Below are 22,358 nucleotides of genomic sequence, written 5' to 3'. Positions count from 1 at the left end.
AGTGGAATAGGCAATGACCGGCCTTCCTCCCATCTCTTTTCCCTGGCCACATTTTCTTTCCTGGAGGAAACAGGTGTTATCTGATTGTTTCTCATCTTCACTGAAACACACCCTGGCTGGCCTCTCTCAGCTCACTGTTGGCCTCATCTTCACCATACGTTCTTGCTGTCTGGAATCCAGTGTCATCGCATGTGGTTCTCTGCATGGGAATTATTGTAGCCTGTCTTTAAAAAAAACTTCATTCTCATTTCCACACTGAGAATCACTGTCCGTTTATTAGTGTCAAAATGATAGGAAAGAGCACTCATGTTCTGTGTTGTGAACAAGGGGAGTATTAGAAGAAACTGGTCAAAGGAGATGAGGAGTGAGAACTCAGAGCACAGCAACAAAATCTTCTGAGACACACAAGTCACTCCCTGCTGGGCAGGGTAATTTTGCACGATGGGAGGGTGTTGGGGAAGGGAAGAGGCCTTCAGCCAGACCGGTGCACACTGCAAACATTCACTGAAACACACCCTGTCGGCACTTACGAGCATTTGCCCCTTTCGAAGACATTTGGACTCAAGAAGGCAGAGTTGCAGGAAAAGGTAACAGCGGCCACACTGCAGGGGCAGGGGCAGGGGCAAGTGGTGGATTGCAAGTCTCAAGCCCAGGGTTCTCCCCCACTGCCCCAGTTGTGTGAGAAGGTCATTTCCTAACTCCTGTCCAATATCCCCATGAGTTCTCGGTTTTGTCCCAACTCTGAACCTGAATGGTCCAGCAAGCATTTCTGTGAAATGTCTCCACAGTGGCCACTGGGAGGGGAGTGACCTCCATGCAGTGACTGTCTGTCTGGGTGCTCCCAGGCCTTTTGTCCTCTGAGACAGAACTGCCTTCTTACATGCAGCCCTCTTCCACTGTGCAACTCTCTACCTCCATCTTAGCTGAGAAGATCAACGGAGAGCAATTCAAGCAAAATCATGGTAAACTTACCAAAACAAAACAAACCGTAAACACTTTGGAGATCTTTCTGAGGACTTGATCTTTTACCATGGGGCAAACTTAAATGATTTTCAATCAATAACTTCATCTAAGAGGGATGTTGAAGCAAAATATCATACTCAGATACTGAAGAAGCGCAGAATTTTTGGTTGCTTCCTCCCTTGTCAAGTCAGTCAGCTGATGCTTTCTCAAGATTCTCACACGTGGCTTTGATACAGGATTTGAATGAGTCTTTTTCTGAGCCAGTGATACAAAAAATATATTGTGGAAGTGTCTTGTCTTAATTCTGCAATCGCTTCTGTACATGTTTGAAGTCCTAGACCCCAGGAGGAGAGACAGTCAAATTAGCCAAGGGTAATTTGTGAAGACTGGCCATGGGAGGTGGTGGCTAAAAGTCCTCCGGCCCGCTGTCTGAGCATCCCCACAGAAAGTCCTGGGCCGCACTGACAGCTGAGAAAGAACATCTCAGGGCTTGGATCCCCTGTTCAGAGGACACATGCTCCTCCACCCAGTAGAGGAATGGCGGCTCCATGCTGTGTCCTGCAGAGCTCTCAGTCTCTGCACTTGAGGCCCTGGGCCTGCATCAATGTGAAGGCTCTTCAGTGTTATCACGTGGAGACAGATGATAGGAATCCTGCAAATGAGCAGAAAGGATGTGACGATTAAAGTTTCTTCTGACGGTATTACAAACTGAAGTCAGTGAGTTCCTTCTCTACTAGTTTTTTATTGCCAACTGGAATTCTGCACTGTGTTGCAGAGTCAGGGGTGGGGAGCGTGGAATTGTTCCCTTACTATCTGCTGCTTTATCGACTGAAATTGATCAAGGCTACAACAAAAACATTTCTAGAAATCATTTGAATGCGGTAGGAAAAACTCTGGGAATGGAGTCAGAAGAAAATATATTTTGGAGTGTGTTTTCAGGTCTAAAAATCTTTGCCAGAAATACTCTTTAATGGAACCTCCAGACTGAGTAGGAAAACAGGGCATACTATTTTTTGAAAGGCATGAGCAGGAATGAAATCAATGCCATCCAAAGGGAATGCAAGACATGCAATTTGAGGATACTTTGCTTTAGGATAAACCCTCCAAAGGTAAACCTTTCAGCAAGGGTGTTACCTAAGTGCATGGACTGCAGGTTTGTATTACCGAAAATTAGGAGTGATCGTTGCGGACGCGCTGGTTTCTCAGAGGCAGGGTCATGGAGGTTCCAATGAGGGGGCGTTGTCTGGCCCCAGGAAGCGCCCAGGTGCCGCGTCCCTCCATTTCCACATCTCCAGCGGGGCCCTCCTAGGGCGGGTCCTGGCCTGCCCCGTGTGCCGCCGCAGGAGCCTTGAGGCGGGCGAGGTTCCAGCGCGAGGCCGGCCGCCCTCAACCGCTCCCAGCGCCAGTTGCGGCGGTTGATGGCAGGGAGACGCGCAGCGCGAGAGCAAAGGGCGGTGACCCAACGGCCTTCGCTCTCATGGCGTCCTTCTTGGTGTTACCTAAAAATAAAGCCAAGGGTGATCAGAAGGTAATCACCTCCTGGTCATGCTCCCACTGGTCACCAGTGTCCGTGGGGCGACCCCACATTGTGACCAGAGCAGGCCTGTGGCTGTGCTCAAGGCGGGAGCGTTCATAGCTTTCCTAGTGGGGGCCCTGCGGGACGCCCAGGCCACGCTCCTTTCCCTTGCTCACCTGGCCCTGAAGTGAGGGGGGAGGTGTAACAATGCAGTGGGAACCTCAAAGTGTGTCTCGGCCATGCCCTTCACATTCCAAACAATGCAAAAGCTTGAAGAAAACCTCAGCAGTTGAAACCGTGATGCAGTTCAGCAAAGAAGTAGCTCCTGTCCCCGTAAAACAGTGAAGTTCTCACGGACGACCTCATTGAGTAAGTTGTGAAGCTTGTTGACTTGATCAGAATGATCAGCCAGCATGCATGTTCTAATACGCTGATTTGTCACTGATAGGAGCAGCTGCAAAGTGGAAGAACAGGCCTTTAGTCATAGTTTGTTCACTTGGTAGCACAAGTTGGTTGTGGATGCAAGAGTGTGGCCAAAGTCAAGAAAAGCTTCCATGAGAATCGCTTACTTATGTGGGATTTACAAATAAAGACATAATAAAAAATGCAGTAAAGCCATAGGTTTTATGGCTGGCTTTGGAGAAAAGGGGTTCTAGGGGTTCTGTCTACTATGACCCACTGTTGTGGAAGAGAGATTCTAGTTTCCATGGCCAGCCTTATGGGAGAATAGAACTAAGAGACAAGAGGACTGGAGAAGGTCAGAGAAAAATGTTTGTTTCTGAGGCTGCAGCTGAGGCTTTCATTTGGGGGTTTTGTTTTCTGATCCCCAGAACTATCCTACACTGTAATTGCCTATTTACTTGTCTGAGTTCCCTAGTTAGACGCTGTGCTCCTTGAAGGCTGTGAGTAGTTTTTAAATACTATTTTACTCAATTGCAATTGCTTAATATCTGGCACACAGCAGGCCCTCTACAAATATCTATGCACGAAAGAATATAATTTTCATCACTCATTCCATTCTGAAATGCACACACACACATACACACACTGATGAATCAATCAATGGATAAACAGGTAGATAACAGCTAATAGAAAATAATGACTGCAGGTTGTATAACACAATCAAAGTGTTTGTTGTTGTTTATTTTCTTTGAAATTAACTGGCATGCTGGATCCCATTGACACTAGCATCAAAATACCTGATATTATTAGCCGTGACATGTGTTAACTAGTGGTTTCTATGACTGCTTCCCATCACTACTCCCCATCTCAGTGATCCATTTGCTCATCAAATCAAAACTAATTTCCCCAAAGCAAGGCTATTATGAATTTGAAAAAGTTGATTATTTCCCAGCAGATAACTTTAAATGTCATGGAGCCTATTTAAAGACAGCTTTATATCACAAACCTTATGTTCAAGCCTTAATGTACAACCAAATGGACCAAATGAGGCAAACAGAATCAGGCTTCCAAATATAATCATAATTCTAGATTAGCTCTCAAAATAAGACTGCAGTTCACATATTCTACAAAGTATGTTTTGACATTAAATGTAATATACTGAGGATTATTTTTCTGATTTATACTTGCTTTGGTTTCTACCTTTGGGTAGGTGGCTCTGACTATGAAAAAGTCGCTGTGAGCCTGCCAGGCTACATCTCCCTCCCAGCAGTGAAGTCATGCCCTATCCTCCTCCACATTGCCTTTTCCTTCAGATTCTTATTTACCGATGAATGTTTCAAAAATTTTTTTTCTCTTCCTTCTAAAACTAAGCAGAAATATTTCCTCTACCTAGTGTTATTCATTGTGAGGAGAGGCATTTTTTCTTGCAGGTGGGAGAGTATAGATAAGGGTAATAAAGTTCCCATAGTTTTTTGTTTTTGTTTTTCTGGGCATGAACTAATAGTATTTATTTTCTTTTAAATCACAAAGTATGATTGCTGTAGCACTTCTCATTTCTATTTTCTTTTTTAAAAAACAGCTATAAATTCAATTGTACAGGCAGTTTCAAGTACTCAAAACGTAATAGATTAATCTTGACATCTGTGGTTTGTGGATTCAAGTCCCTACATTCTCTAGCTTGTAGTGTTTATGAGGTAGTGGATGTGAAGAGTTCATAAGTCAAATTCACATGTAATTTGTACTGGTTTCATCATTCATCATAAAATATGCTACTGAACAATAGTGAGTACGTTGTCGATATGTAAATACACAAATACAAATGCACACAACATATAACAAAGCAGTTTTTATGATGTACCTTTTGCATTACAATACTCTTATGTAGCTATAAAACTACTACAAGAGATAAAGTAAATTTAAAAGCTATTTTCTTCAGTTGCATGTACATAGATGTATCCTAGAGAAATGCTATTGTCCCTCAGAAATAGTATTTATAAACGAATATTTTTTTAGACAAACCCAAAGTACTATGGAATAAGTTTGTCTTATTTTGTTTTTAATCAGTGAATATAGATGACTAGTTCATTCACTTAGTCTTTCAGAAGAGTATTAATATCAAAATTATCATATGGTCTAATTTTTTTTAAATCCCAGTTTCTACAAAACAATAAATGGTGAGGTTCTGACAATTATGAGGGAAACTTAGTACCAAATACATATGCTATTTCTCCACTTGCGCAAGAGAGCTAATTTGTAGAAAACAGAAGTCTAAAAGTTGGTAAATCAAATGTGTTTTATAATCACATCTGTGAGAGAAGAATCCTCATGACTTCTGGAAATATCAAAATTTGAAATGACTAAATAACTGACTTGCCAAGGAATTTGTATTCTCTTGTACTTTTACACACTAGGGGAGAAAATAGTAAAAACTAGCATAATCGTGTGGCAAAATATCCATGAAATAATATTTTGAACGTTAAAATATGGATTTAAAATAAGACAAATGGATGTGTTTTTTAGATGTGTATGCCTAAAAGATGGATACTGTGGATATCTGATGGCTTTCTTGATTAAGCCACAACCAGTGGACCTCACAAATGTCAAATATGTTATTCCAAAATGTCAGTTGTTTAGACTCATTTCTCAGCTTGTTATTGATGAGTTTCCTTTCACATTTGGAGGCATCCTGTTGGGGAAACTGAAGAACAGATGTTAAGTGTGAAGTGTCTCCCTCCTTAGTTCATATTCATATCACATTGTTTGAGCTGCCACATGTAAACAATATAGACACTAAGCCAACTGGTCCTCTGCCTACTGCTGACGTGGCAGAAAATATCTAGGAGGTAGTCAGAGGGGCATACGTATACCTGTTAAGTGGCCTGGTTCTCCAATAGTCATGCAAATATTGCTAAATTTGTTTCACTCCTGGGAATTCAAGCTTCTATTTCAGATTCCTAATCCACGGCAATTAATTATCTTCTTTGAATACCCAAAGCAATTTATGTTGCTTAACATATAATAAAGTCCATTATTATTCCCTGTTTTATAATTGAGGAGACTAGAGTCTGGATTATTTAAGCAACCAAAATCACCAATCAGTCATGACAGAGCCCATGATTAAAATTCTGTCTGTCCCCAGATTTGTGCTCTTCAGGTAATGACATTTCTGCACAGTTATTAATCTGAGTAAATAGAGTCCATAGTGAATTATTAGCTGATTCCAGGAGATTCCATGCAAATAAAAGTCTTTCTGTCATTTCAGGCTCTGCCAGTCTACATTAATACAAATCACAGCAACAAGGCAGTTTATTTAAAAATATTAAAAGTAATAGAAGATTGAATGGAAGGATGAATGGATGGATTGATTAAGAGACAGATAATAGATAAATTGATGAGAGAAACACACAGAAAGATAAAATAAAATTAAACACACTAACAAAAGTATGATTTGATATATAACAGAAAAAGTTCTTTAGTTTGTCTGTGTGTGTGTGTGTGTGTGTGTGTGTGTGTGTGTGTGTGTAGGTATTCTGTCATAAAAACACAACTATCTAAAACATAAAGTCTCAATCTTTTTCTTAAGAAATATTTTTAATTTAGGCTGGTTACAACTGTGAATTAAATTTTATTTTTATTTTTTATTGTATTTTATTTTGATTTTTTTTTTTTTTAAGATGGAGCATCGCTCTGTTGCCCAGGCTGGAGTATGGTGGCGCGATCTGGGCTCACTGAAACCTCTGTCTCCCGGGTTCAAGCGACTCTCCTACCTCAGCCTCCCGAGTAGTAATTTTTGTATTTTTAGTAGAGACGGGGTTTCACCATGTTGCCCAGGCTGGTCTTGAACTCCTAACCTCAGGTGATCCGCGTGCCTCGGGCTCCCAAAGTGCTCGGATTATAGGTGTGAGGCACCATGCCCTGCCCAACTGTGAATTAAATTTATATCTAGAAAAGGTGAGAAATATTATTAATGAAAACATTTCTTTCTTTTTATGATACTTAAGTTATACATGTGTAGAAGATGCAGGCTTCTTACATAGGTATACATGTGCCATGATGGTTTGCTGCCCATCAACCTGTCATCTGCATTACGTATTTCTCTTAATGCTATCCCTCCCCTTGCCCCCCACCCCGTGACAGGCCCCAGTGTGTGATGTTTCCCTCCATGTGCCCACATGTCATTGTTCAACTCCCACTTCTGAGTGAGAACATGTGGTGTTTGGTTTTCTGTTCCTGTGTTAGTTTGCTGATAATGATGGTTTCCAGCTTCATCCACATCCCTGCAAAGAACATGAACTCATTCTTTTTTATGGCTGCATAGTATTCCGTGGTGTATGTGTGCCACATTTTCTTTATCCAGTCTATCATTAATGGGCATTTGGGTTGGTTCCAAGTCTTTGCTATTGTAAATAGTGCTGCAATAAACATACATGTGCATATGTCTTTATAGAAGAATGATTTATAATCCTTTGGGTATATACCCAGTAATGGGATTACTGGGTCAAATGGTATTTCTAGTTCTAGATCCTTGAGGAATCACCACACTGTCTTCCACAATGGCTGAACTAATTTACACTCCCACCAACAGTGTAAAAGTGTTCCTGTTTCTTCACATCCTGGCATCTGTTGTTTCCTGAGTTTTTAATGATTGCCATTCTAACTGGCCTGAGATGGTATCTCATTGTGGTTTTGATTTGCATTTCTGTAATGACCATTTCTGTAATGATGAGCTTTTTTTCACGTTTTTGGCCACATAAATGCCTTCTTTTGAAAAGTGTCTGTTCATTTCCTTCACCCACTTTTTTTTTTTTTTTTTTTTTGAGACGGAGTTTCGCTCTGTCGCCCAGGCTGGAGTGCAGTGGCGCGATCTCGACTCACTGCAAGCTCCGCCTCCCGGGTTCACGCCATTCTCCTGCCGCAGCCTCCCGTGTAGCTGGGACTACAGGCGTGCGCACCATGCCCGGCTAATTTTTGTATTTTTAGTAGAGACGGGGTTTCACCGTGTTAGCCAGGATGGTCTCGATCTCCTGACCTCGTGATCTGCCCGTCTCGGCCTCCCAAAGTGCTGGGATTACAGGCGTGAGCCACCGCGCCCGGCCTCACCCACTTTTTGATGGGGTTGTTTTTCTCTTGTGAATTTGTTTAAATTCTTTGTAAACTCTGGATATTAGTCCTTTGTCAGATGGATAGATTGCAAAATTTTTTTCCCGTTCTGTAGGTTGCCTGTTCACTCTGACGGTAGTTTCTTTTGCTGTGCAGAAGCTCTTTAGTTTAATTAGATCCCATTTGTCAAGACATTTCTAACCAGCAACAGGTCCAATATCGGAGTGAGTATGTTCTGATGCACAGGGCAGCAGTGTTTAAGGATATATTCTCTTCATGGAGTAACATCCAACTCAAACTTTAATGGTAACACTTTAAATCTTTCCAAGCTCTGAAAGCAATTTCTTCTGCTTAATTGCTTTTTGGGGACTGTAATACATGTGGGCATTCTTACTCTAAATAGAATTCTCTGCATTTATGTTCAACATTTCTTTTATGGCCACTTAAGTGACTTTTCTCTGGTTATTTATGCAATATAGGTGACAATCTTATTTGGTTTTCTATTTGAATATTCTGTAAAAGCTGAATAACAACTCCAAAATACGACACAAACATGCAGATACATATACAAACACTTACTGTATTTTATTCAATTAGTAAGTGTGTTCACTTAAATTCACACACAACTATACCTATAGGCATGCCCACACATACACACACACATACACTGTTTCTCATTCTTATTTCCTTTATCTGTACTTGGTTTAGTTATGGCTTTTTTTTTGCCTCTAACACTTTTATTTTAAAAAGAAAATTAAAATAGGTTATTGGGATCAAAGATATAAGCTTTTTGTTACTTTGAATGATTTTTGTAATTCAGAATATGCACTTGTTATTTCAGTTCTTATTTTTATAATTATTGGAAGAGTTCATCTAATTACCCTATAAATCCCTGGAGAAAGGTGGCCACCATATACTTTATTTCTTGGTTATATGTATAAAAATCAGTAGGCAATGTAAAAATGTTTTTGTGTGAATTTATGTGAGTTATAATTCTAATTCTATGTCAATATTCACCTCAGATTACCACATGAAAGCTCAGTCACCAACTATGCCTCATACTGAAATACCCACTGATTAAATCAGTTGACAACCAGCTCCTATCGTACATTCAAATCACCAGGATCAATAGAATATTTTCTTATCCAGATTCTCAATCCACTGCTTCTACTCACAAACTTCTTCCCCACGATAAACATACACACACACATGCACACACACATAGACATCTCCCAGATAAATTCTTATGGTCATACCAAGGTAATCCCACTGCTTCCATTTATTAAATAATTGATTGAAAATATTTAAGTGAGAAAAATGGTTGTGTAAGAGTAATATTGTTAGCAGTTGCTAAAACTGAATGTCTATGTGCCTTCAAAATTCGTATGGTGAAACCCTAGTCCCCAGTGTGATAGTATTCAGTGGTGGGCCCTTGGGAAGTAATTAGTTGGTGAATGAGATTAATACTCTTACAGGAAGAGACATCAAAGAGATAATCTCTTTCTCTCTCTCAGTCTCTGCCATGTCAGTATACAATGAGAAAATGGCCATGTGCAAACAAAGAAACAGGCCCTCATCAGTCACTGGATGTGCAAGCACCTTTGTCTTAAATTTTCCAGCCTCCAGAACTGTGAGAACACGCGTTTTCTGATTAAGTCACCCAGTCTACGGTAATTTGTTTTAACAGCCCAAAGTAACTAAAACAGCAATTATCTCATGAATTTGGAAATGGTCTGTGTACACATTATCAGTAATTAATTTTGGAAAATTTACTTATTCTTTTGTAAATCTCAGTTCTCACTAAAGAATAAGGATGATAACAATACCGTATCCCCAGCATGTCCATAAAAATTAAATGGTAGAATGAATCTAAAAAGCCCGATGTATAATGGGTATACAGTATTCAGTACATGCTGTTATATACTTCTTTTCCCCTTTATGAGAACATGCAATATGGTCTGATGAGGTCTTTTTAAAATTGTTCACAATAATTGACATTTTACAAGTCATATCAAATGATACTTTTTGCCAAACCTGGTCTCTGGCTTGATCAGTTTTATTTTACATTTGAAATTTGTACTTAGACTTACGGGACTACTTTCTTCCATGAAAGATCTAATACCCTACAACCAAACACTTCATTATTTGGAGTTAAAAAGTGAAATTCTTCGATTATATCTAAGCTAATTTAAGTATTTTAAGTATATAATGTTTAACTGTTAAGTAGTTTACTTCAATTATTAAAATGACTGAGTCAGAGTAACTGATTATACTTCCTAGGCACACTAGGCCAGATGTCAAGAATCAAGGACTTCATTTTCAGAGCTGGCACTCATTAGCTCTGGGTTTGGAGAATTCACTTATTCTCTTCATTCTTTCTGAATAGTTTACCATTGTTTTCTAGAGGTGATTGAGTTTAAATGCACGATTTGGAGGCTCATAGGTTCCATTCTTTTAGGGAAAATAATTTTGAAAAACAAAGAGAATAAAAAACTCTAGGTCAAAAGAGATCTATGGCTGTCTCATAGCAAGAGTGAAACACTGAGATGCCTATGTGGTATACAAATATTAAAATAAAGAAGGCAAGCTGACTGTGAAAAACAACAGCTAAATTATGGCAATAAATGAAAAATGTCAGTAATATCCCTACTTGGGGACACTATGGAATGGTGGGGACTGAGGATAATTAGAGAAGACAACCCGCCTACACATGGCAGCATCTACTAAGACTTATGACTCTGTTTATGAAGAATATGAGTAAATGTCCTGATATTTAAACACATACCAAAAATTAAGATATTCATGTGAAATGTTTTTTTTTGTATTTTGCTAATTTGATTATTTTAAAATAATAATATTTTTTATTCAAACAAATATATTGTCAGCTTAAAGGCCACTAGTTTCTTACCTATTAAAATCTGCTTTTCAGTTTGATGCTTGAATTTTTTCTATGGCATCACAAGTAAGTTATTGGTTATACATGAACAAATGCATGAATGGAATTATTATTACTTTCATTGACAAATGCTTTTACATATGTAAAATTTTCATCTTTGAAAGTTATTTTATGTGTTTTTACAGAACTATCCTCTCTTCCATGATACATCTTTGTTAATTCTGTTTCTTTAAGTAACATTGAAGATATTTATTTTTCTGTTTTCATATATCACATTCTTATTCCACTAAAATACCTACATTTTCTTCAGTTATGTATGATTGGATTTTTTTAACCATCCAGATACATGTCTTTTGACATAATAGAATCTTTTTTATTCTTAGGATGAAAGAGTTACACCATAGTACAAAAAACTTATTAATTTACTATATCACAGCTACTATGGTGTGGTATGTAAATTAAGTTTATGAAAATTTATGATTATTCAGATTAAGTCCTGCATATGTAATGTTAAGATTTTTTTACTTTAGTTTTCTGAGAACTTGATTTACTAAAAGGTAAATAAATCACACTAGGATGATTATAAATATATCATTATTATTTTAAAAGGTATGCCCCAGTCCTCTTCTTACTGTTGGATAAGCTCATTCTGAAACCACAGTTCCAGACTCTTCTCCTGAGTACAATAAACGTATTTTAAAGCAGTGGTAAATATTTGTTTTGTCTGCAACTCCATCTCCAACAAGTAATTTGTTCAACAATTGTCATTATGAAGTGGATGTCCTTTACATCAGCTCCCTAGATTTTTTCAAGGCCATTGGTGCTTCACAACATTTTTTCAGAGGTTACATTCTAGTCACTTTCTTTATTGTCCATTCAAAACACTTGCTGAGACCTAGGGTGTCAGATTCTATTTTGCCTGTTATTTGACATTCCCTTCTCTTCGCAGGCCATTTAGCTACATATTTCCTATTGGACTATCTGCTTTGGCATTTAGTAAATAAATAACGTAAGTCACTGAGGGTATGGGAAGAAATATTGAGTCATAAATACCATTTTCTCTTAGGGAATTTTCCTCTGAAGGCTTGCAAGTGTGGTATAGTTCAGTGTAGTGCTACCAGCTTCTGTTCTGAGGACACAGCTAATTGGGTTGATAATCCAAGATAATTTAAACAGATTATTTAACCTTTTTATGTTAGTGTTTCTATTTTGTATAGTGGTTATAATAAAACCATTTACTACTTAAGATTAAGATCTTCATAGATCTGAAGAAATATTGTACTAGAATGCTTAGTGAAAAATGTCTGACACATAATAAATACTCCATACATTTTGGCCTTTGCTCTCATTGTTATTTTTACCATCAGCTCTCTATCTCACCCTTGAAACCTGGCTCAGCCCCTGTGGAACTGTAGTATATCACCCCTGTCCCACAACGAAGACCTAAACGATTTACCCTTACATGGTTCCTGTATCCAAGGTCCCAGAAAGGTAGAAGGGGGAAATGTCACAATAATATTCAAAATATCTGAAAGCAAACTGCTATTGTTTTAGTTTGAAAATAGAGCTTGATAGAATTTGACATTGTATTTCCCTAAAATATTAAACTTGTATACTCTCAACAGTTATATTATAAATATTTATTCAGGTATGGTCAAAATTTATCCATATTAATGATAATTATTTAAATGCTCTTTAGCTGTTCATCACCATATTAATACTAGGAATAATGACGGCTAATTTTAATTGAGTACTTCCTAACTGTGGCCCAGTTACAGTAAAATAAACACTATTAGATACACTCCATCGATTATTACAGCAAGTCTATGAAACATACTGTATTACACAGCCAGTATTAGAAATGAAAAACTCATGGGAAGGATATGTATAAAACTTGCTCAAAGTTACCCAGCTAATAAGTGGCTAGGACACAATTAAACACCTATGCAGTTTTCTTTCCTGAGCTGAAATCCTAAATCCTTGGCTGTATGGCCCCTCATTCAAAAGTCCTAAACTGGCTAAAATTTATATAACAGAAAATTCACAGAATCATTTCCTTCTACTTTCCACTACCAGGGCTGTTAACAGTCCCAAGCAAAAGGGCAAAATTTTTTTCTACTTGAGATAAGAAAAATATAGAGTGTGACAGAAGGTATTCTACCAATATAAAAACACTTTACCAGGAAAACTGAGAAGGGGGCTGTTAACCTTCCGGGAAATGTAGGTCTTCAGTGGATTCCTGTTAGAGACATAAAAACGTAGAGAGAAGACTTTCAGTTAAAAGCCTCCTCCCTTCAGCAAAGTATATTCTGATTCCATTATCGTGTTAGGCTCCTATATAGTTATAAGTAATCCCATGCGGTTTTAGAATTCTTAAATATTCACACACATAGTCATCTGAAAATGAATAAATCCATGAATGACTAAACAAAATTTATTCCTATATCATTTTCAATATCCTTAAATTATGCTTACATCCTTAAATCGGTTGCCTCATTCTGAAAGCACATAGTCTGTAACTCATAAAAAACACCTGTCGGCCGGGCACGGTGGCTCACGCCTGTAATCCCAGCACTTTGGGAGGCCGAGGTGGGCGTATCACCTAAGGTCGGGAGTTTGAGACCAGCCTGACCACCATGGAGAAACCCCGTCTCTAATAAAAACAGAAAAAATTAGCCGGGCGCGGGGGTGCATGCCTGTAATCCCAGCTACTTGGGAGGCTGAGGTAGGAGAATCACTTGAACTTGGGAGGCGGAGGTTGCGGTGAGCCAAGATCGTGCCAGCCTGGGCAACAATAGCAAAACTCCGTATCACAAAAAAAAAAAAAACAAAAAAAAAAACCCACTAAATAATTCATTTAGTATGGGAGAGTGTGAGGAAGCAGAAAATTTAAAAAAAAAAATAGACCAGCAATAATGTCACTTTTTCATGAATTTGTTAGTTCTTTCTGAGCTCCACTTACAGTTACTTTCCCATTCTTCCCTGCACACCGTCAACACATAAGGACTCAAATTAAGATGATGTATATGTTTACACTCCAAAATTTTTTTTTTTTTTTTTTGTGAGCATGGGGCCGTATTTTAATACAAGAAAGACATTGCTCTAGAACATGGCTCGCCTTTGCTTCAGGGCCTAGCAGTTTATTTTAGCCATAAGGGTAAGGGAGCAGGTCAGAAATGACTTTTAGTGTAATCCTATCTGTAATTAAAAATACAAATGCTGTCATAAGATCAAATGTTATCAAAAATCAGTATTTAAAATTAAATTTACCCCCAAATTTCTTTCAAAAAAAATTTGTAATGTTCTTTTTCAGTGAAGCCTTTGCACTGCTAGAGCTGAAGAATGTGATCAATCGGCTTGTTGAATAATCCCGCACAGTAGGTATTCCGCTGAAGCCAACTCTAGCTGGGGGCTCGAGAGCGAAAGACACAGATGGGGCCCTGCCGCCCCTCGAAGAGTCGGATGGGGGCGCCCGTCCCCGGTGCATCAAGAGGCTGGCCCCGCCAGGGGCGAGCGGCTGGCACCGAACCCCGCGCACCTCGCCGCGGGCGGGGCTGGGCCGTAGTCGGCTCGATTTAAGGCTGGTATCCAAGGCTGCGGCCGGTCAGGCGAGGCGAGGCGAGGCGACGTGAGCGAGGGTGCTTAGGGAGAACAGCCGCTGGCAGCTCAATGCTGGGTGGCTAACGCTCGACGGTGCCCGGCAGCAACCCGGCCGACACCCCGACCCGGATCCCGAGCTGCGTCGCGGACAATGCCGCGGGCCCGTCCCGGACTACGACTCCCGACGGGCTCTGCGACCGCTCCGGGGCGGCCCAGCGTGCACTGCGCCGGCCAGTTTGACAGCCGGGCGCCCTACTCGGCTAGCTCTGCTCCCAGCCAGGGACGCTGGCCTTCTCGCGGCTTTCCCCCGATGTCTCTCTTTATTCCAGCTGCCTGAAACTCGGTCCCACGAATGGCAGGCAGCGTCCAAAATTCAACCCCGTAAAGCCAGCACCAGCCAATAAAGCGCACGGATGGAGGCCACGTGACAGCAGTGGGCCGGCCCTCCGGCTGAGCCCTGATCTCTATGGTTTCCGCGGCTCGCTAGAAGGAGTGCGGTCCACTGGAGGTCTCCCTACATTCTTCCTCCATTATCTCACTGCCTCCGGTGGCTGCTGGGATACCGGAGGACTCGGGTCCCGGCTCGACTCAGTCCTCCAGCCGCCCGGGGAATACCTCTAGTTCTTCCCGGCCGCCGCCGCCTCCGCCCCGCCGCTTCCTCCTCCGCCTGCCGGCCTCCTTCGCCCCGCCCCGTCCGCGCAGCTCGTCCGGCCCGCCCGCAGGCCAGCTTCTCTCGGGAGCCTCCACCCAGGCGCATGGCTCCATGAAGCAAGAGGAGGAGGCAGAGCGCGAGAGATCCCGTCCGCCCCAGCCGCGTCTGGGCCAGGAGAAAAGGTGGGAAACTCGGGCTGCGCCGCACCCTTCTCCCCGCTGCCGGGCCAGGCCTCCCTCGGTCCGCCGCCGCCTTGCCCGCCGGGCCTGTTCTCGCCGGGGCGGGCGGCGGGGCCGGGAAGAGACCCCGCGGTCCTGGGGCGAGGGTCCGGGGGCAGCGTGGGGGAGGGGTCCCGGGCGGCGGGCGGGGCCTCAGGCCATGTCCCAGCGGAGGGCAGGGGGTCGGGAGGCACTGCCGGGGAGGGGCGGGCGGCGCCGTGCCCCGGGCCGCGAGGCTCGGCTCCCGCTCCTGGTCCTTGTCTGCACTCCCTCCAGGAAGCAGGCTCGCTCGCTGTAATGTTTGGTGGTCTCCGGCGCCGCCTGGTGGCCCCCACCCACCGTCCCGCCGCCCCGCCGCCCCCTCCCCCGCCCGGCGTCTGGATTCCACCCCCGCGGCTCGGCCCAAGCTGCTCTACCCGTCGCTCCATCGTCTCCCCAAATCCCCAGCGCCCCGGACCCTCTTTCCTCATACCCTCCTTTCTCACCTTTCACCCTGTCCCTCGGCCCGCTTTTCCCCTCCCCGCTCTGTCCTGTCGTTTTCTTAACACTCTTCACACGCGCACTTCCTCCTCCTCCTCTTCTCTTTTTCCCACCCCTACCTTTGGGCCCTCCTTCCTTAACCTCCGCTGGCCCCCCATTCCATGATCCGTCCACCTGACACGCTGGGTTTCATGCCTCTCTTTCCCAGGCTGTGGGTTGTGCCCTTCACTCCTTGCCCTCCTCCATTCCCTGTCCTGATCTGAACTCCTCTCCTTGCCACGCTCCCTCACCCTTATCCCTCTGCACACTCCAAAATTTTTAAAGAAAAAGGAGAGAGAGAAAAAAAAGTAAAAGAAACCCAAAAGGGAAAATATAGCTAAGGTGAACTGGTGAGTTTCTACTCAGAATTCTTATTATTGAGTATGATGTATTTTGTTTTCTTAACTTATGTATAATGAAAATGGACGAGAAGAATTATAAATCATAGTTCATTTTTATGATTAGTACATAAAAAAAATTTGAGTCTTTCTTGGCATCCATTACTTTATCTTAAAAACACAGAGTATTTACTTTTTGTGTGGCAAAGGAGGCCTAATGGGGAACCTTGACCTTCATCTCAACTTGACAGTAAAAAGGTGCTCCTTCCTTCCCCTTTTGCTTGCCATGTGTCTGAAAAAGACTAGTAGCAAGAATATATAAAGAACTTTCAAAACTTAAGAGTGAACAAAGTCAAATTAGAAAGTGGGCAAAAGACATGAATATACATTTCACTGAAAAGAATATATGTTTGGAAAATCAGAGCATGAAAAGACGTCAACATCATTAGCCATTAGGGAATGAAAAATTAAAACCCCAATGGGATTTCAATATATACCCAATGGAATAGTTACAATAAAAAATAATGACAACACTGAGTGCTAGCAAGGCTGCAAAGAAACTACTTAACTGCTGCACGGTTGATGGGAATGTAAAATAACAAAGCCATTCTCTAACAATTTGATACTTTCTTTAAAAAGCAAACAAACAGTTTAACAGGCAATGACTTTATGACTCAGTGATTTCACTCCTGATGACATAGTTGGTCATCAGAAAAAATGAAAATAAAAACCTCAGTGAGATGTCATTACATATCCAAGAGAACTGGTAAAATTAAAATGGCTAAATACCTGGAGACCGATATGGGAGGATAGCTCGAGCCCAGGAGTCCAAGGCTGCAGTGAGCTATGATTGTGCCACTCTACTCCAGCCTGTGTGATAGAGCAAGACTCCATCTCTTAAGAAAGAAAATTGGGGACTGAATATAGCAAGTGTTGAAGAGGTTATGAAGCAAAGAAAATCTCATACATTTGTGGTGGGAGAGTAAATTTACAGCTATATTTTAAAGAAGTTTGGCAATTTCTTATAAAGTTAACCTGCACACATACCCAGTGACATCGTGATTCAATTTATAGGTATGTACCAAAAATAAATGAGGGTGTGTATTCACACAATAGAGACCGATATAAAATTATTCACAGCAGGTTTTTTTTGTAGGCAAAAACTGGATGTAACATCTATAAAGTGGAGAAGAGATAAATTATGATATTGACTTACAGAGTAATAATACATAGCAATACAAAATAAAATATTGACACATAAAACAGCATAGATAAATCTCCAAAATATCATGTTGAGTAAAATAGGTCAGACACAAAAGCATAAAATCTATATGATTCCAGACAAATTTGACCAGTGGTTATCGACTGGAATAAAGCAGCACAACATTTTCTGTGGTAGTGAAACTTCTTTATCTTGATATGGCTGGTGTGAATATGAGTGCAGAAATACATAAAGTTAAGGTACACATCTTAAATTTGTTCATTTTATGAAATATAAATTTAGCCTTGGTAATGCACCTCCAAAATTTTTTATTAAGGCTATAATTAAATTTATATTTATAAAAATGAGTGATGTATCACATTATATTAGAGTATTTTTCTAATAGAAGACCTTATGGCTTAAAATTAAGTATTCTGTTTAATACTTATCATAAATTTATAATTTAATAAGTGATTTATAACTGCACAATAACATTACAACAATTTTATGTTTAGGTAAAATTGTCTTTATTTTAAATTTAAGTAGTACAGCAACTTTACATGGCTTACCTAAACCACACAATTATTAAGTGATATAATTGGGACTCTAATCCAGGGCTGTTTCTAAGTAATATGTTCATTTTTCTTCACATTGATAACTTGAATACATCTTTTGAAAAAAATTTTATTAATTTTTTTAATTTAATTAAGATACTTTCAACTTATTGAAGATTATGTGGTTCTTATAACACTAGATGGGTTAAAGTCATACTTTTGACTTCTATTACTTATGTGATTTTATGTGATCTTGGCCATTCAGCCTTTTTTTGGTAAAAAGGGAATGATAATATCTCTCAAGAGTATTGCAAGATTTAAATGAAATTAAATGCGTTGAAAGCTTCTGTAAGAAACGTACAGAGTGCATAGAAGAATCTCAATTTTTATAAGTTTCTCAATTTTCCCTTTACATTTTCATTCTTATTGTCATCTGTCTCTCACTGATGCTGCTGCTTCTCATGTCTCCCCCTAAGTGCAGACTAGTTCTCACCCTCAGCGCTCTAACCACTGCCTCTAGAAGTAAAATAAGTGTCCTCTTGCAGAATACTTCTACTTCCTTCTCCTCAAACCCCTCCAGCTTGGAATCTCATACCATTTGATTATATTGATCACTCTCCCAATGTTTAGTCACTTTCCCTCATTCTTTGAAGTCTTTACAACCTGACTTACTGCCATTATTTTGATGTCTCATTTAAATTACTTATCTTCTTTGACATTTGACCTCGTCATTTCCAATGTACTTGCTATCTTCAGTATCTAGCTATTCAATCTCATGATCTCAGCTCAAACCACGTTATTACTCCTAATTGCAAATTTTTACAATCTAACTTTTAAGTCTCCTGCCTTCTGAACATTAACTTCTATCTTTCTAGTTCATTCCATTTACTACAACTTCAAAAATACTGTGACTCATCCTGGATCTACACTCTCATACAATATACAATACAGTCCTTATACAATTCTCAATCCAGTTTTCTCCACACATCCTTTACTTCTCAGCAAACCCACCTTCAAAACATTTAAATAATTTTTACTACTGCTGTTATCCACCCAGGCCAAGCCAAAATCATGTCTCATCTGAATTTTTATCCCCCTTCCTGCTTCTGCATTAGCCCTCACCTTCAGTCTTTTCTCAATACCCAAGCAAGAATATAACATAGTATCATGGAGATCATGCCACTCTGCTCACTCACTTTTAAGGACTTCTAATTCCACTCTGAGTCATTATTGTACAGATTATATAGCTCTACTCATGCTCCCCACCAGGCACACCTCTTTGATCACAGCCCTGTTGCTCTTCCCCTCATGCCTCTGTTCCAGGTTTGCTGTACCCAACACTTCCTGGTGCTATTTGGGCAGGCTGGGAATTGTCTCTGTGTTAGCCCATTCGAGCAGCTATAACAAAATACCATAGACTAAGTAGCTTATAAATGACAGAAATTTATTTTTCACAGTTCTGGAAGCTAAGTCCCAGATCAAAGTGCTCACATATTCCATATATGATGAGGCCCTATTTCCTAGTTCATAGACCCATCTTCTTCTTCACATGGTGGAGTCGTCATATGGTGGAAGGGACAAACCAGCCCCCTCAGGCATCCTTTATAAAGGCACCAATCTCCTTCATGAAGGCTCTGTATTCATGACATAATCACCTTCCAAAGACCTTAACTTTTAATAGTATCATACTGTGAATTACATTTCAACAGTAATGGGGGGGGGGGTTGTCAACATTCAGACCATAGCACTCTCATATTAGATACTTTGTACATGGTTTCTCTGACTGAAAACACCTGTCTTCAAATTCCTCCCTGAATTGTTTCCTTATCTCCTGGATTAGTTCCTTCTCATGCTGTTAATAAAAATATATCCTAGACTGGGTAATTTATAAAGGAAAGAGATTTAATTGAGTCACAGTTCTGCACAGCTGGTGAGACCTCAGGAAACTTACAACCATGGTGGAAGGGGAAGCAACACATCCTTCTTCACGTGGTGGCAGCAAGGAGAAGTGCCAAGCAAAATGGGGGAAAAAACCCTGATAAAACCCTCAGAGAACATGAGAATTCATTCATATCACAAGAACAGCAGCGTGGGGGTAACTGCCCCCATGATTCAATTGTCTCCCACCAGGTCCCTCCCATGATATGTGGGGATTATGGGAACTACCATTCAAGCTTTAGATTTAGTGGGGGACCCAGTCAAACCATATCACCTTCTTCAAGTCTTTCACTCAAATGCTACTGTCTCCGTCATGCCTTCCTTATTTCCCTACTTAAAATTATATCTCCTCCTCATGTTCTTTATTTGCTTTGTCTGCTTTACTTTCCTCCATAGCACTTAGCAACACTTAACATATTATATAGTTTAATTATTTATGTTGTTACACATCTCCTTCCAAGAGAATGTAAGCTCCAAAAAGGCATATTTTTCTTTATTTTCTTTTTTTCACTGCTATATCCGCAGTGTCTACAATAGAATGTGGTACAAGGTAGGAGCTTAATGTGAATGAATGAATGTTAGTCGTATTACCTTTTAAATTTACCTTATTTTCTAATTTTCTACATTTTCCACATTCCTTCATCCTTTCCACCTTCCTACATCCTGTGGGATGTGCATACAGAAAGTAGCAACATTAAGGTAAAAAGTTTAACCTTTGGATTAATATTTAAATCTTGAGACTGTTTTGCTCTTCTGTTGCCTTTAGCAAAACCATATTCCTGCTGCTGTCAGTTTTGATGCACTGAGAAAACTTCAGAGACCTAAGCTTTTTCCAGAGAAGAGAAGCTTTACTGGTGTTCCAGCCCTAAGGTGAGACCAGCTTATGCATCCTGGTTTATATTTTATTTTGTCGCCTTTATTCTCTTTCTCTTTATTTTTCTTTTCTTCTTTCTTACATTGTATTTCTGTTTGGAAAAGACCATGTACAAACAGAGTAATATGTGGATCCATGCCTATCCATCTTAGTATAATCATGTATTCATTGTACTTTGTTGTATACATTTGGTACGTATTCTAAATATGGACATATGCTATGTATCATAATGTACATAACCATTTCTCTATTGATAGACTGTTACAGTATTTTCAATTTCTGATAACAGCAAAAATGATCCTTCAGTTGCTATCATCAATATTTATTTGTACATATCAATGATCATTTTAGAGGATTAAAAACAGAAGAAGAATTTTTAGGGAAACCATGTATAGTTAAAATGTGTATATACTTTTCACATTTTCATAGATAAAGAGCATCCCCATTTTTTTCCCCACTAACAACAAGACAAGATGGCTGGAGAAAAATAAGTCACCAAATATCATAAAGATACTTGCATGTTTTATAAGTAATTAATAACTACTTTCTCATAACAGTAAAAACTATTTTGTTTTGTATGAGAGGATTTTTCTCTCTAAGTTTTAAAAAATCATTACATGCAAATATATCACATCAAACCCAAAAGCCATTGCTAGCACACTGGTTCCTGTCTTAATATTAAGTATGAGATAAAAGGCCTTTATCTTCCAGAAGGTTGTTCATAACATGCCAAATATATGAACACCCAATAGTCAAAGGACATTATCTCTATGATGTAATTTTGAAAGTTATTAAAATAATTGTTTATCAATTTCATCTTACAAGCACACAATTTAAACCATTCTTTTAAAGTGGATTTTAGAAGATTGGAATAGGAAGTTATAGAAGTCAATCCCTCCACAAAAACTGCCATTAAACTGGAAAAAATAAGAATTAACCTTTTTGGAACTCTGGATCCTAATCAGATAAATAACAACCATTAGTAGACTGCTTGATGCTGTTGGCCTTTAGTAAGAAAATGGCTGTATGCACACACCAGATACCATCACTCATTCTTATTCACAAGAGTCAAAAAGTGAAAACAAACCTGTATGTGTAGATAAACAAAATGTGGCATGTACATACAAGGGAAGATTATTTAGCCATAAAAAGGGAATGATGTTCTGATACATGTTTACAACATGGGTAAACCTTGAAAATATTATGCTAAATAAAATAAGCCAGACACAAAAGGACAAACAGTATATGATTCTACTTATATGAAAGATCATGAATAGTCAAATTCATGCAGTGGGAATGCAGATTGCATGTTTCCAGGGCATGGAGGCTGGGGCAAGGGGAATGGAGAATTAGTGCTTAATGGTACAGAACTTCTGTTTGATGTGATAGAAAAGTTATGAAAACAGTGTTAATTATACAACATTGTGAATGTATTCAATATCACTGAGTTTTAGAATTGAAAATGATTAAATGGTACCTTTTATGTTATGTATATTTACCACTGGGCAATAAAATTGTATTAGTGTAGGCGAGGCAATTTTAACAGTCGTACCACTCTGGAGGAAGATATTGATAATGAAGGAGGCC

At 39.8% G+C, this 22,358-nt stretch overlaps 2 long non-coding RNA genes across 3 annotated transcripts in view, besides 5 other annotated features; one reads left to right on the top strand and one right to left on the bottom strand.

Moving 5' to 3' along the window:
* Positions 1 to 250: 250 nt before the first annotated feature.
* Positions 251 to 15,142, bottom strand: LINC00863 (long intergenic non-protein coding RNA 863). Of its 2 annotated transcripts, NR_135292.1 has the most exons (5): positions 14,416 to 14,817; positions 13,058 to 13,116; positions 2,656 to 2,933; positions 2,128 to 2,462; positions 251 to 1,615 (listed from the first exon to the last, which is right to left on the bottom strand). It is a non-coding gene; the product is annotated as a long intergenic non-protein coding RNA 863 (long non-coding RNA). The 2 variants fall into 2 exon arrangements; NR_029408.1 differs by lacking the exons at positions 251 to 1,615; positions 2,128 to 2,462; positions 2,656 to 2,933; positions 13,058 to 13,116 and having other exon boundaries at positions 13,979 to 15,142.
* Positions 1,889 to 2,395: an enhancer, noted in NCBI's record as "H3K27ac-H3K4me1 hESC enhancer chr10:89114915-89115421 (GRCh37/hg19 assembly coordinates)". NCBI's record gives its function as "activates a minimal SCP1, AML or CMV promoter by ChIP-STARR-seq in primed H9 embryonic stem cells {active_cell/tissue: H9 hESC(primed)}" and the evidence as "EXISTENCE:reporter gene assay evidence [ECO:0000049][PMID:30033119]".
* Positions 2,396 to 2,902: an enhancer, noted in NCBI's record as "H3K27ac-H3K4me1 hESC enhancer chr10:89114408-89114914 (GRCh37/hg19 assembly coordinates)". NCBI's record gives its function as "activates a minimal SCP1, AML or CMV promoter by ChIP-STARR-seq in primed H9 embryonic stem cells {active_cell/tissue: H9 hESC(primed)}" and the evidence as "EXISTENCE:reporter gene assay evidence [ECO:0000049][PMID:30033119]".
* Positions 14,257 to 14,486: a silencer, noted in NCBI's record as "silent region_2581". NCBI's record gives its function as "represses an Ori minimal core promoter by ATAC-STARR-seq in GM12878 lymphoblastoid cells {active_cell/tissue: GM12878}" and the evidence as "EXISTENCE:reporter gene assay evidence [ECO:0000049][PMID:35858748]".
* Positions 14,636 to 15,243: an enhancer, noted in NCBI's record as "H3K27ac hESC enhancer chr10:89102067-89102674 (GRCh37/hg19 assembly coordinates)". NCBI's record gives its function as "activates a minimal SCP1, AML or CMV promoter by ChIP-STARR-seq in primed H9 embryonic stem cells {active_cell/tissue: H9 hESC(primed)}" and the evidence as "EXISTENCE:reporter gene assay evidence [ECO:0000049][PMID:30033119]".
* Positions 14,995 to 22,358, top strand: part of NUTM2A-AS1 (NUTM2A antisense RNA 1) — a 103,892-nt gene continuing 96,528 nt past the window's right edge. Inside the window, exons 1-2 of the long non-coding RNA NR_024397.1 lie at positions 14,995 to 15,311; positions 20,664 to 20,767. This is a non-coding gene — a long non-coding RNA (NUTM2A antisense RNA 1). The remainder of the gene's footprint in view (positions 15,312 to 20,663; positions 20,768 to 22,358) is intronic.
* Positions 15,137 to 15,196: a silencer, noted in NCBI's record as "silent region_2580". NCBI's record gives its function as "represses an Ori minimal core promoter by ATAC-STARR-seq in GM12878 lymphoblastoid cells {active_cell/tissue: GM12878}" and the evidence as "EXISTENCE:reporter gene assay evidence [ECO:0000049][PMID:35858748]".

This window comes from Homo sapiens, chromosome 10, assembly GCF_000001405.40.
Source record: "Homo sapiens chromosome 10, GRCh38.p14 Primary Assembly".
In the NCBI taxonomy this organism is placed as follows: domain Eukaryota; kingdom Metazoa; phylum Chordata; class Mammalia; order Primates; family Hominidae; genus Homo; species Homo sapiens.
This window is presented reverse-complemented; position numbering and strand designations above follow the sequence as displayed.